Source organism: Homo sapiens, chromosome 14 (assembly GCF_000001405.40).
Source record: "Homo sapiens chromosome 14, GRCh38.p14 Primary Assembly".
In the NCBI taxonomy this organism is placed as follows: Eukaryota; Metazoa; Chordata; class Mammalia; order Primates; family Hominidae; genus Homo; species Homo sapiens.
The window spans coordinates 35,867,706-35,882,166 of NC_000014.9; the positions used below are offsets into that span (position 1 = coordinate 35,867,706).

Below are 14,461 nucleotides of genomic sequence, written 5' to 3' on the forward strand. Positions count from 1 at the left end.
TAGTTATATTAAAAACTTAGTGATTATGTAAAAGAATGTAAGGAATAAATCTTTTTATTACATTTTAGGTTTGTTATTTAAGAAATATTTTTAGGCCTTTTTTACATATGCATGGATTGATGTTAATTGTTAATGTTCTGACCCTTTGTTCTTCTGACAGTGTTTTATTAATATAACAGTTTTTGAACTGATCCCTTTAGCACCTGTGAAACTGGAAAAACATCTGCACAGTGCTAGATCTGAAGAGGGAAGACTATATTATGATGGTGAATGGTATATACGTGGACAAACAATATGTATTGATAAAAAAGATGAATGTCCTACAAGGTAAAAAAGCCTTTGTTATTTCAGTGTTGCTCAGTATTGTCATTTACAACATCGTTGTCAGTGAAATATTTCCTGCCTCCATAGTGTGCCTATATCATTAGTTGCTTGTGGATCCTTTTTTCACTTGACATATGGCTTGATTACATGTGTGTACAGCAGTGTTAATATGTATGAACCAGACTTCATATTAAGTTTATGAACACAAACTTTAATGCAAGTAGAAATGTTGAAATTATTTAGCCAGGTAGCTGATCCTGTTTCTTAATTCTTTTAGTAGGTGAATCGTTAGGATCGTGCTATAATGACCCTTAAACCTGACTATTATGAATTTTTGGTGGACCTAATAATCTTTAACTTTTTTGGATGTGTTACAATATTTTAGATAAAAAGAATTTGTATCAATTAGAGTAGGAAATAAATGGAAAATTAATAAAACCCTTAAGATTAATAGTAATTAAAGTATAATCTAGGGCTGGGTGCAGTGGCTGACATCTGTAATTCCAGCACTTTGGGAAGCTGAGGCAGGATTGGGTGAGGCCAGGAGTTCAAGACTAGCTTGGACAACTTGGCAAGACCCTGTCTCTACAAAAAATAAAAAAATTAGCCAGGTGTGGAGGTGTGTGCTTATAGTCCTAGCTGCTTGGGCAGGAGGATCGCTTGAGCCCAAGAGTTTGAGGCTGCAGCAAGGTATCATTTCACCACACCATTGTACTCCAGGCTGGGCAACAGAGTGAGACCTTGTCTCTCTAACAACAACAACAACAAACAACAACAACAACACAGTGTAACTTGAAAACTGCCTTTTAAAAGTCCTAGTAATATGTCTAGGCTTAAATAAAGTTTATATAACTATTTGTATAGCCTTCTAAGTTTTATCTGGTTGTGACCTTTTGAAAATATTGTTAATCATCTTTCATTCTCCAGTAGTGTAGGATTTAATTCTCAGAGTAGTAAACTTCTGTGGTAACAAAATATGGTTTTGTAGGTGTCAGTGGTAAATAAAACAACTTGAGTTTAGTCTACAGTATGCATTTTCCAAATACAGTGGTTTTAATTGTAAGATAATTTTGTCTTTAAATTTTTAGGATTCCAGGAACATTGTGTATAATAACTTTTCTTATAGAAGCTCATTGAACTACTAGTTTATATATGATACTCCTGGATTCTTCTGTTTATGTTATTGTTTTTGAGATATTTTACTACTACTTAGCATAAAAGTTGTTTAAAAAGAGATGAGGCCAGGTACAATAGATCTTTCCTGTAGTAATTCCAGTACTTGGGAAGGCCAAGGCAGGAGAATCACTTGAGCCAAGGAGTTTGAGACCAGCCCTAGCTGGTCTCTTTGTAGAGAACCCCATCTCTACAAAGTAAAAAAATTATCCTTAGTCCCAACTACTCAGGTTGAGATGAGAAGATCACTTGAGCCTGAGAGGTTGAGCCCTGATTGTGGCCCTGCATTTTAACCTGGGTGACAGAGAAACCCAGTCTCAAAAAAAAAAAATTCCTATTCACTCTTTAAAAAATAAATAATTAGGCCGGGTGCAGTGGCTCACACCTGTAATCCCAACACTTTGGGAAGTCGAGGAGGGTGGATCACAAGGTCGGGAGTTCAAGACCAGCCTGGCCAATATTGTGAAACCCCGTCTCTAGTAAAAATACAAAAATTAGCCAGGCATGGTGGCACGTGCTTGTAGTCTCAGCTACTTGGGAGACTGAGGCAGGAGAATCACTTGAACCGGGGAGGTGGAGATTGCAGTGAACTGAGATTGCGCCACTGCATTCCAGCCTCGGCGACAGAGTGAGACTCTGTCTCAAAATAAATAAACAAAAAATAAATAATTAAAAAAAGAATAAAATACAAATCTATTTAAAGAATAGATCTTTTTATGTAAAGATTAGTAGTGTAAAAAAAATTGGTATAAGTACCGTAGATGGTTTGACATTAGGAATTAGAGATTAGCATTTGAAAGATACTGACATGAGTTACAAGTATAATACCATATACATAGCGCTTTTAGCTCCAGTTTTTTTTTTTTTTTTTAAAGAGGTGGGGTGGGGATGGAGTAGGAAGAATGTGCTTTTAATAGTTCTAATAGAAAGTAAATTTTACGAACTCTATTAAGAAAAGAAGGATGATCTGCTGTGTTGCTGAATGTGATATTTTTGGCAGCATGTACTGCTGATATGCAGCATTCTGGTAAATGACAATTATATACCTGAGTCTACTGTTGTAGGCCAGTTTATTTTGGTTTTATATAGGTAATAATCTAAAGTGAATTGAGGAGACATTGTAATTCATTCATTCATTCTTTTTTTTTTCTTTTTAGTGCTGTAATTACAACAATTAACCATGATGAAGTTTGGTTTAAGAGGCCTGATGGAAGCAAATCTAAGCTTTACATTTCACAGCTACAGAAAGGAAAATATTCAATTAAACATTCATAATCATGATTTAAGTGTTATCTAAATTTACCTTATTAGTGTTACCAAATGTAAGTGCCATGAGAGTAAAAAAATGTATTCAATAACTTAATATTCTCACTGAATCATGAGAGAATGTGTATTTGTAGGTAGTACTCTAAATAGATCTCATTGATATGTTATTAAAAGAAACAGTAATAAAAATTTTATCACGATCCTTACGTTGATTTGCCTCTTAGGTCCGATGACCAATAGGTATTCTGTATATGGTAGGGGTTTCTTTCTAAACATTTTTCTTTGGTTTTAAAAAAAGTTATGCAAATTTGTCTTATCTTTAGTAAACTATGACTACATTTATCTGCAATTTTTAAAATTTTCCATATCTTTGTCATTCATTGTGTGTTTGTAAATAAGGCCGATAGAATGTTTCCTATAAATGGTTTGTACTAGTACATTAGTGTTAAACCAGAACTGAAATTTAAACATATATATATATGAGGATGTATATATGGCATCATCAGCTTATTTAGAACTGATGGCCATACCTTACAATCTTGTTTTACCCAAAATTAAGCTATTGGGGTTGAAAGCTAAAAGGAGCACTTTTGTAGAATAGCAACTTTTCTTTTCCTCTTTCTTGATTGTATGGTGGGGTGGTGACCTATTTTTACAAATTATACCTAATGAGTAAAATTAGTGTAAAGTGATAACATGCTTCTACCTGTATTTCTAGTGACCCTTTAGCGGCAGGTATTTATACCTGGTATTTATGATGCAGTATATAAGTGGTGAACAATAACTGACAGTATTGTGCTTGCTGTACATGTCTGGTCTTTTGAAACAGATTTTAGTAAGCATTTTCCAGAGGTAAAACTGTGTCCTTATTCTAATTTTATTCCTAGGGCAAAGTAGACAGGGATTATTTCCTTGAATCTATTTCCAAATTAATATTTTTTTCTTTGGTATTTCTACACTTTAAGGCCATTTGGTGCAATTTAGAAAGTGTTGGCCTCCCTTCCGCTAGCCACATTCAAAATTAACTTCCAAAACCTCAGGAACAGTACAAAGAATTGAAACCCTCAATATGGCAGCACAGCCGGCTGTAGTGTATATTTAGGGTACACCAAATCAGGTATTCCTGGTGGTCTTGTGCACTTTAATTTCTGTTACAATGAGTTAAGAGGATGAGGAAGAAATCTACTTATTAACACTTACTGCAGAAATGTCTGCATTATTCCGTTTGTTTTCTTATTATTTTACCTCTCCAAACATCTTCCTGTGCAGATCACTACTTCATAGTTGCCAAATTTTAAAACACTTAACTGCTGAAATTCAGTGTCAGCAAAGTGATATTACGTTGTTCTGTTTCTAATTAACCTTAGCAAATGTACATAATGTCAAAACCCAATAGTATTTGACAGTACTTATGTATACAATGTTTGATAAGCATTTTTAATAAGATTTGTATTTTTAAATTTAGTATATAATAAAAAGATGTGTTTCAGTGTGATTTGTAGTGTCTTGGATTACTTATGTGTATTTAGTTCTTTTTATAACCTATCCACTTGTAAGAAAGATTTGAATTGGTTTACGTTAATAGATATGGAGTAGGCTGGGTGCAGTGGCTCATACCTGTAACCTCAGCACTTTCTGGGGTATATTTAGATGTTCAAGACAGCTAAGTTATACTTAATTTTAAAATATATGCATATGTGTTGTACTTTGATTAAAAGGTACTGTATAAGTTAATGAAATTCTAAATAGAAAATCTTTATTTTTTTATTTTTATTTTTTGAGATGGAGTCTTGCTCTGTCACCCAGGCTGGAGTGCAGTGGCACGATCTTGGCTCACTGCAACATCTGCCTCCCAGGCTCAAGTGATTCTCCTGCCTCAGCCTCCTGAGTAGCTGGGATTACAGGTGTGCACCATCACACCTGGCTAATTTGTATATTTTTAGTAGAGACAGGTTTTTGCCATGTTGGCCAGGCTGGTCTCAAACTCCTGACCTCAGGTGATCCGCACACCTTGGCCTCCCAAAGTGCTGGGATTATAGGCATGAGCCATCACACCTGGCCTAGGAAATCTTTATTTTAAAACTATGATTTAGTACATTTATTTTCAAAACTTTAGTATTTATATCTTATGTAGTATTCTACCATAATATTAAGATTCATAAAAGCATATGCTTATCTATGACTAAAATGCTATAAAATATATTGTCTTATTGGCAGTTTGCCATTAGTTGTCTGGTCATAAAGTTTAATTTAGGAAAATTATTAGAAACTCCAAAATGTGATGTAGTGGCTGCTGCTGCTCCTGTGTTTATGATCAGCTTCTGTCTCAGGATCATTTCTTGACCTTTATTGTCACAGCTCCTAGTTTTTCATGTTCAATCCATCCCCTCCTTGCTGTTTCCCATTTTTTAAAAAGAGATACTATCTAAGTATCACTAATGCAATTCTTCAACTAATAATTATTGGCAAATAGTAATGGCACACTCCTGATTTGTCCCCTTTTTCACTGTTCATATTGGTGGGCTGGACACAGTACTTTTTTGCAGCCTTCTTCATGTAAAAGTTGTTCTGATGTATGCATTACTTGGAACACCAGTTGCAGAACCATGTATGCCTCATTAATAATTATTTAAAAAGAAGAAAAACTTCCAAAGATTCAGGAACAGTAGAAAGAATTGAACCTTTAATATGGCAGCACAACTGGCTGTATATGTGTGTGTGTATATATATATATATATATATATATATATATATATATATATATAACATTTTTTTTCCCATGACATAGCCTCAGGAGGTCCTGAGGACATGTGCCCCATATTTAGGGTACAACCAAATCACATATTTTTGATGGTCTTGTGCACTTTAATTTCTGTTATGATAAGAGTTAAGAAGATGAGGAAAAAATCTACTTAACACCTAGAGGAGAAGTTATCTGTTTTTTCTTTTTGTTTTTGGACCCAGTAAATCCAGTACAATAAAACTGAACTAAAATGAATTTCTCTTATAAGAAAATGGATATAGGATAGGCCGGGCGTGGTGTCTTAACGCCTGTAATCCCAGCACTTTGGGAGGCTGAGGCGGGCAGATCACAAGGTCAAGAGATTGAGACCATCCTGGCCAACATGGTGAAACCCTGTCTCTATTAAAAATACAAAAATTACCTGGGTGTGGTGGCGCGCACCTGTAGTTCCAGCTACTTGGGAAGCTGAGGCAGGAGAATCGCTTGAACCTGGGAGGCGGAGGTTGCAGTGAGCTGAGATCATGCCACTGCATTCCAGTATTCCAGTCTGGTGACAGAGTGAGACTCTGTCTCAAAAAAAAAAAAAAAAAAAAAAAAAAAGGATGGATGTAGGATGAATTAATACATTACTTAGGATTTATGTAGTTTCTTGCTAAATTGGAATGCAAACGATTTTAGTTGCTAAAGATGAGGAAATTAAAATATTTTAAAAAGAACATGAGGCCGGGCGTGGTGGCTCACGCCTGTAATCCCAGCACTTTGGGAGGCCGAGGCGGGCGGATCACGAGGTCAGGAGATCGAGACCATCCTGGCTAGCACGGTGAAACCCCGTCTCTACTAAAAAATACAAAAAATTAGCCGGGCGAGGTGGCGGGCGCCTGTGGTCCCAGCTACTCGGGAGGCTGAGGCAGGAGAATGGCGTGAACCCCAGGAGGCGGAGCCTGCGGTGAGCCGAGATTGCGCCACTGCACTCCAGCCTGGGCGACAGCGAGACTCCGTCTCAAAAAAAAAAAAAAAAAAAAAAAAAAAGAACATGAATGCTCAGAATGGGGTTAGAGAAAAATGAATGTTCCTTATGTTGTCTATGGATGAAGTACAAGAGTTGTGGCTGGTGTGTCAGTTAGGGTTTAACAGGGATAGTTCCCTACTGGTCATTGTGGGCCAAAGTCTTGCTTTTTATTTCATAGGTACAGAAACTTGAACTTTATATGATCTGTTATGGGCTAAACTTTGTGCCCCCAGAATTCATATATATATATAATATTTATTTTATTTTTTTTATTTATTTACTTATTTATTTTTTGACACAGAGTCTTGCTCTGTTGCCCAGGCTGGAGTGCAGTGGTGTGATCTCGGCTCACTGCAACCTCCTCCTCCTGGGTTTAAGCCATTCTCCTGCCTCAGCCTCCTGAGTAGCTGGGATTACAGGTGCATGCCACCATGCCTGGCTTATTTTTGTATTTTTAATAGAGATGGGGCTTCACCATGTTGGTCAGGCTGGTCTCGAACTCCTGACCTCATGATCTGCCCTCCTCGGCCTCCCAAAGTGCTGGGATTACAGGCGTGAGCCACCACACCTGGCCCAAAATCATATATTGAAGCTTTACCCCCCAGTACCTCAGAATATGACTATATTTGATGATAGGGGCTTGAGAGAGGTGATGAAGTTAATCATGTCTTTGATCTTGGATTTCCAGCCTGCAGAACTGTGAGAAAATAAATTTCTGTTATTTAAGCCAGCTAGTCTGTGGTATTTTGTTATGTCAGGCCTAGCAAACTAATAGATGCCCCAAAGTGACAATTCTGGAAACATTAGACTGGTCAATTTACAGCGGATTAAAGTGTACACCAAGTGTCAGTTTAATAATTTACATTGGGATTACATTGGGATTATTTACTGGGATTCCAGGCGTGAGCCACTGCACTTGGCCCAAAATTTATAGGCTGGATGTTCTAAAACTGTTATGTTGCTACTCTTTCTGAAAAATATATCTGTTTAGTGGTAGAAGGCTAAAATTTCTTTGCTGTTTAACTTGAAGCTAATTTGTTCTCTTTCAAGACACATTTTATTAAAGGAAAGTGAAGAGAAGAAGTTATGTAGTAACAGTCTTTAGAGTCTATTTTTTTTCTTCCTTTTCTGTTTTCCCATTTTTTAATACAGGTTTGAGGTGGTGACCTTGCCAGAAGACTGTTGCATTCTCTTGAGAGAATTATCATAATTCTAGTTCAGAAGCAGGCCACGTGGTCACATTTTATCTCTGCTAGTAAAGGTTACAGAATGATGTTAAACTGCTGAGAAAACCAGACCCTTAAGCAGAGGCTAAATGACATCGGCTGTTAGAGGGATGTTGAAATAAGTATCATATTTCATTTATTATTGAAAGATTTTGAAAATGGCATTGTTAATAGCAGAGATAGTAAAGTGCTTGAACTTGTTTGAAGTTAAATGCATGATTTCAGTGTATTATGTTTAGGTACACCTATGGTTAATTGCACTTATTAAGGAAGACTTTTTTTTTTAAGACTTGAGCTACTGTTTAGATGATTCATTGACTAGTAGTTTTTGATTTGAACCTTACACTCCATGGTGTTAACTTATATTTTATAAATGTATTCATATATGTACATATAATAACAGATTATCCACTACACAAGGGCCAACTTGCTTTGGGTCTTTCCTGCACACATTTGAGCTATACTGTCTCTCAGGCCTAAATGCTCTATTGGGCATCTTGGGTTTCTCATAGAGAGGGGAGCCCAAGGGTGTGCACTCGCCCTTACCTTCCTTTAGAGCTTTTCTTTCCCTCCTCCCCTGTGCACCTGCCCAAGGAAATTCTCAGTACAGGTCATGGCTCATGCCCACTCTGTGCAAGGCTGCCAAGGGGTGAGACTCAAGAAGGTGAGGCTGCTGCCTGCCTGGTGCCTTCTGTGACCTCTCCTGGGTCTCTGGATTTGCTCTTTTTGTACCTCTATTCTGAAGATTTTAAAAGATTCTGTAAGATTCTATGTTTTATATTGGTTGTTTTTCTGCCGGGTAAGTAGAAAAGGGTACAGCAGGCCTATTATTTACACTAAAGGAACACTACATGTATTCTCCTATACCTCTGATATGGTTTGGCTGTATCCCCACCCAAATCTCATCTTGAATTAATTTTCTTGTGTCGTGGGAGGAATCTGGTGGGAAGTGATTGAATTATGGGGGAGGGTGTTTACTATGCTATTCTTGTGATAGTGAATGAGTCTTACGAGATCTGATGGTTTTAAAAACGAGAGTTCCCCTGCACAAGCTCTCTCTTTTTGCCTGCCGCCATCCACGTAAGATGTGACTTGCTCCTCTTTGCCTTCAGCCATGATTGTGAGGCCTCCCCAGCCATGTGGAACTGTAAGTCCTTAAACCCCTTTTTCCTGTATAAATTACCCAGTCTTGGGTATGTCTTTACCAGCAGCATGAAAATGAACTAATGTAATTTCTCTTTTTATTTCTTTTTAAACATATGTTGTTGGTTTTTTTTTTTCTTTTCCCCCCCATCACTGAATATTTCTAGTGCATGTTGATGATCTTTCCATAGAAGTTCCCAGAGATCTACTTTGTTCTTGTTAATGACCACATGGTATTTATTTTTATGGAATAACCACATAGAATTCTATGGTGTGGAATGCCAGCACAATACTAATGAACATTGAGGTTGCTGTTTTCCTTCCGTCTTTCCTCCCTCCTTCCCTTTCTTCCTTCTTATTAAACAAGGCTGCAGTGAACACTCTTATACATATATCTTTGATGCTAGGAAAGAGTATATTTGTAGCATAAATTTCCAGTAGAATTGCTGGGTCAAAAAATGGTAGGGAAAATTTGTATTTTATTAGATATTGCCAAACTTCCCTGCAAACAAATTGTACCAATTTGTGCTCCTACTAACAGCATATGATGATGCCTATTTCTCCTAATCATCAGAAACACTGGGTTAGTTAATTTCTAGGTCATTATTGAAGATCATTCTTCTACCTTCTCTTTGTTTTTCTCTGGGCTGCATGTTAGGCCATCATTCTACTCCTTTTAGAAGATTTCATTCACTCATTGGCTTCAGCTACCATTTAGGTCCTAACAAATTCTAAATTTAAGCCTCTACCCTTACCCGAGTTATATATTCAAGTTGCCCATTGGGCATTTCCATCTGTTACTCTTAACACATTTACAACTTAATATAAAGAAAACCAAATATTATCTCCTGTGCACATTCCTCTCCCAGTCTGGAATGTACTCTATTTGTGCTTCCACCCTTGATACACACAATGACTCACATAAATTCAGACCTTGGAGAGGTTGTGGCAGGTAGCTAAACTCATGAATTTTGGAGCCAGATTAGCTGGATGTGAACTCTACCATTTATCGGCTGTATGACCTTGGGTAACTTCTTTTTTTTTTCTTTTTCTTTTTTTGAGACAGAGTTTCGCTCTTGTTGCCCAGGCTGGAGTTCAATGGTGTGATCTCGGCTCACTGCAACCTCCACCTCCTGGGTTCAAGTGATTCTCCTGCCTCAGCCCCCCAAGTAGCTAGGATTACAGGTGCGCACCACCACGCCTGGCTAATTTTTGTATTTTTAGTAGAAACAGGGTTTCACCATGTTGTCCGGGCTGGTCTCGAACTCCTGACTTCTGGTGATCCACCTGCCTCGGCCTCCCAAGGTGCTGGAATTACAGGCATGAGCCACTGCACCCCGTCAACCTTGGGTAACTTTTTAACCTTTTTGTGCCTCAATTTCCCCATCTGAAAATGGAAATAATACTTCATAGGGTTGTGGTGAGGACTTAATGAATATATGTCAAGTGTGTAGAACAGGGCATGTTACATGATAAATCCTATGTAAGGGCTGTTGATGAATTTGACTTCTCCTCACATCTGTGGAATTAGCTAGTCCTGTAGATTCTAACTCTGAAACATTTCTAACTGAAAGCATTCTCTTTTCTCTATTCCCACTGGTGCTGCCCTAGTTCAAGCCTCTGGTATATTTTACTGAAATAATTGTGATGGCCTAACTGGGTCTCTCTCTTTTTATTTTATTTTAATTTTTCTCTTTATAGCAAATATTACATTTCTAGAACCCAGAACTGATTTTTTTTTCCTCCCAGCTTTAAATCTTTTTTTCAAATCTTTTGCTTACCCAGAACTTCAATTCTACTTTTTCCAGGAAATGCTTCTTCCCTGATCTGACTGTGTGGTTCTAATGAGAACACCTCTTTCTCTAATACTGCACAATTCTTGGTCCTAGTTGAGTGCACTAGGTGAACGTGTAACTCAGCCTGCCCCAATTAAAACCCTTCTCTTGGATCTCTTAAACTATAACTGCAGGAAAAAGTATCAGTCTCCCTCTTATGTTGGAACTGGGACAATAAAGTTTGGAAATTATAGGCAATGACATTTCCTGCCCTGTGGAGACAGCTGAGGAGATGAGAGGTGGATGGGGAGTTTCTTGGCATTTAGCCTCGTGCTATGAGCTGACTCATAGTCCATCTGCACTCCGGTCTTCCTTGTGTTATGTGGGTCTTCTAATAAATTCCCCTTTTTCCAAACGATTTTGAGCTGGATTTCACACCCTTGCAACATTTATGATGCATCCTTAGAGCTTCATATTCTGTTGATATCCACTTTGAAAATCATCACAAACTTTTATAATTTCAGCACAAAGTCAAGGAATTAAAAAAAAAAGGTATTCATGGAATTACAAATATATGCATGAGAAAGAGAAAAGCAGTCCCTGACAACTAGGAACTGCGTGATAGGCCTTGGTGTTCTGTTGAACATAAACAATCTCACGGAACACCAACATCACGGCCACTCTGTGACCGTGAGGAAGTGGGGTCAACGCCCACCCCAACAACATCTTGTCTAAATATAGACAAAAACAAAGTCAGTCTGCAAACCACAAAAAATGTGGAACATTCCCCTATTCTGGCTAATGTGAATGACTTCTGCTTCTTTACCAATTATAGCATTAGCCTCACTTCATTCCACCTGCTTTATAAGTAAAACTCATTAAGATACTAAATTATGGGATTGCCCCCACTTCCTGACAGCATTTTATCCAGAGCAAAGCCCACTTCCTCAAACCCTACCAAAAATCTCCCAATAAAAGCCCAAATCCTATAAGTCCCTTTTAACACCTTCTTACTCAGACATCCACAGTTCCCTATGGTGTGGTTTCTCCCTCCCTGAAATGAGCAAGAAACCCAACTTGTGCAACTGCCGGTGTGTTCCTGGTGGCCTTTGGCTGGAAGGCATTGACACGTGGAACATTTAAAACAGTTTGCTGTAATAGTTTTTTTTTTTTAACTAGATTTAGACAATGATACAAAGTACATTCTGGACACAGATCTGGGAACTTCTAGTATATAATTATAATGGCTGATAAAAAACAGACTTTAATTTTCAATTACACATTATTGAAAGAATCACAAAAGACAAAAAGACAAGGCGAAAGGCATTTCCTGAATGCATTTTGTACTGCAATCTAAATTAGATAGTAGTACTTTGCTTCTAAAGCCAGAAAATAATATTAATATTTCTACTATATTAACCAGGGACTATCATCTGGAAATGTAAAAGCTACAGTCCCAGTGCATTTTCATTAAAACCTGAAGGTGGCAGTAAATTCCTACAAGACTTAGGTGCCTAGGTTAGAATTTGTATTTTTCCTCCTAATTATTCAAAATGGTATAGTGAGACTTCAGTTGTATTTAATCCTGTTGCATACTAATTAAGAGATGTTTAGGAAGAAGATAAAGCTCTACACAAGGATTATATTATTATTACTCTTTATTAGCTGAAAAAAATTCACCATGTAAAGGGCTTAGGGACATTGCAACTGGTTATATGCTTTAGAGTTACTGTAGAAACAAAGTATGTAATTAAACAAAAGGGAACATGAGAGCTTGTAATACAGATCAAAGTGCTCTGAAGGGATGTGGCAGTAAATATAATCATCCATCAGTATCCTCAGGGGATTGGTTCCAGGATCCCTGCAAATACCAAAATCTACAGATGCTCAAGTCCCTTATATAATATGGTTATTTGCATATAACCTATGCACATCATCCTTTAATTCATCTCTAGATTACTTGTAATTCTCAATATGATGTTGTGTAAATACTTGTTATACTGTATTGTTTAGGAAATAATGACAAGAAAAAAAGGACTGTACATGTTCAGTACAGATGAAACTATTCTTTTTTTCTGAATATTTTCCATCTGTGGTTGGTTGAACCTAGCTGATGTGAAACCTACAGATATGGAGGACTAACTGCATAGTTTATATTTATCTATTAAATAATAACCATGTTGTAGATTTTTGCCCCACATTTCTCCCAATTTTGTCCTCAAAATTCTTAAAATAGAATTTTGTATGGTTGTGTTTTTACCTAATTATCTACTATAATCAATATAATCTCTGGAATATTATTAATCAGGGAAGGCTTAACTGATAATTTAATATAGACAATTTACAAATAGCAAGTTAATATTCATACTGGAAAATGAGTTACTTTGTTGATCTTTTATATAAAGATCTAGAACTAGATTGTTTCATAGTTTCTTTTCTTAGAGAGTAAACATTATCATTGGTCCACTGAATTATATCCAAAGTTATAGTAATGTTTTAATGACCTCAATATATAGGCATGAGATTATTAGAACTTTGAAAATTGGGAAGAATAGGATTTCTGTAATCTTTTTAGATAAAAGTTAAATGGGAGCGAGAAGGAGACGGATGTTGAGAGAACGAGGAGGAAGGAGAGAAAATGGCGTCAACGGATTACAGTATCTATAGCCAAGCTGCAGTGCAGCAGGGCTACAGTGCTTACGCTGCCCAGCCTGCTCAAGGATATGCACAGACCACCCAGGCATATGGGCAACAAAGCTATGGAACCTATGGACAGCCCACTGATGTCAGCTATACCCAGGCTCAGACCACTGCAACCTATGGGCTATGCAACTTCTTATGGACAGCCTCCCACTGGTTATGCTACTCCAACTGCCCCCCAGGCATACAGCCAGCCTGTCCAGGGGTGTGGCACTGGTGCTTATGATACCACCACTGCTACAGTCACCACCACCCAGGCCTCCAAGCTGCTCAGTCTGCATATGGCACTCAGCCTGCTTACCCAGCCTATGGGCAGCAGCCAGCAGCCACTGCACCTACAAGACCATAGGATGGTAACAAGCCCATTGAGACTAGTCAACCTCAATCTAGCACAGGGGTTACCAACCAGCCTGGCCTAAGATATGGACAGAGTAACTACAGTTATCCCCAGGTACCTGGGAGCTACCCCATGCAGCCAGTCACTGCACCTCCGTCCTACCCTCCTACCAGCTATGATCAGAGCAGTTACTCTCAGCAGAACACCTGTGGGAAACCGAGCAGTTATGGACAGCAGAGTAGCTATGGTCAACAAAGCAGCTATAGAAAGCACCCTCCCACTAGTTACCTACCCCAAACTGGATCCTGCAGCCAGGCTTCTACACTGGAGGAGACTTCTGCATCAAGTTTTGAACGACTGATGAGTAAGTGCTCACCAGGTGAGGAGGAGCTCAGGGAACAGTTGGTATAAAGGCTTAGAGGTATGTGGGAGTTGGGATGAGTTTGGGGAGCAGCAAATTACCTGGGGTGCAGGGAGGAAATGGTGAGAGATGAGAGTAAAATAAAAGTTGCTAGAATTGTGAAGGGGCTGTCTTCGTTGTAGATAGTGAACTAGGTGAATTTGGATTATTGTACATGTGTTGCTGAATATTCTTGGTGATAGTTTTCTCCCCTTGTTGATGTTGAAGCTGATAGTGATTGAAAAGATTTAGTTTGTTAAACTTAGTTAATAACTTTTTAAATTTAAAAAAAATTTTTTCAGAACAATTCGAACTTTTTTTTTTTTTTTTTTAAAGGAACAGGATCTCACTCTGTTGCCCAGGCT

General features: G+C 37.9%; 1 protein-coding gene and 1 pseudogene across 4 annotated transcripts in view; both read left to right on the top strand.

Annotated features, from left to right (window-relative positions):
- The window catches only part of BRMS1L (BRMS1 like transcriptional repressor), a 45,626-nt gene extending 41,368 nt beyond the window's left edge, over positions 1 to 4,258 (top strand). For 2 of the 4 annotated variants that reach the window (XM_047431806.1, XM_005268128.2), the window contains 2 exons: positions 180 to 327; positions 2,655 to 4,258. In XM_047431806.1, the coding sequence (XP_047287762.1) occupies positions 180 to 327; positions 2,655 to 2,772 (266 nt within the window). In that variant the 3' untranslated portion in view covers positions 2,773 to 4,258. The remainder of the gene's footprint in view (positions 1 to 179; positions 328 to 2,654) is intronic. The other 2 variants (NM_032352.4, XM_017021705.1) reach the window with 1 other exon arrangement.
- Positions 13,251 to 14,014, top strand: EWSR1P2 (EWSR1 pseudogene 2; annotated as a pseudogene).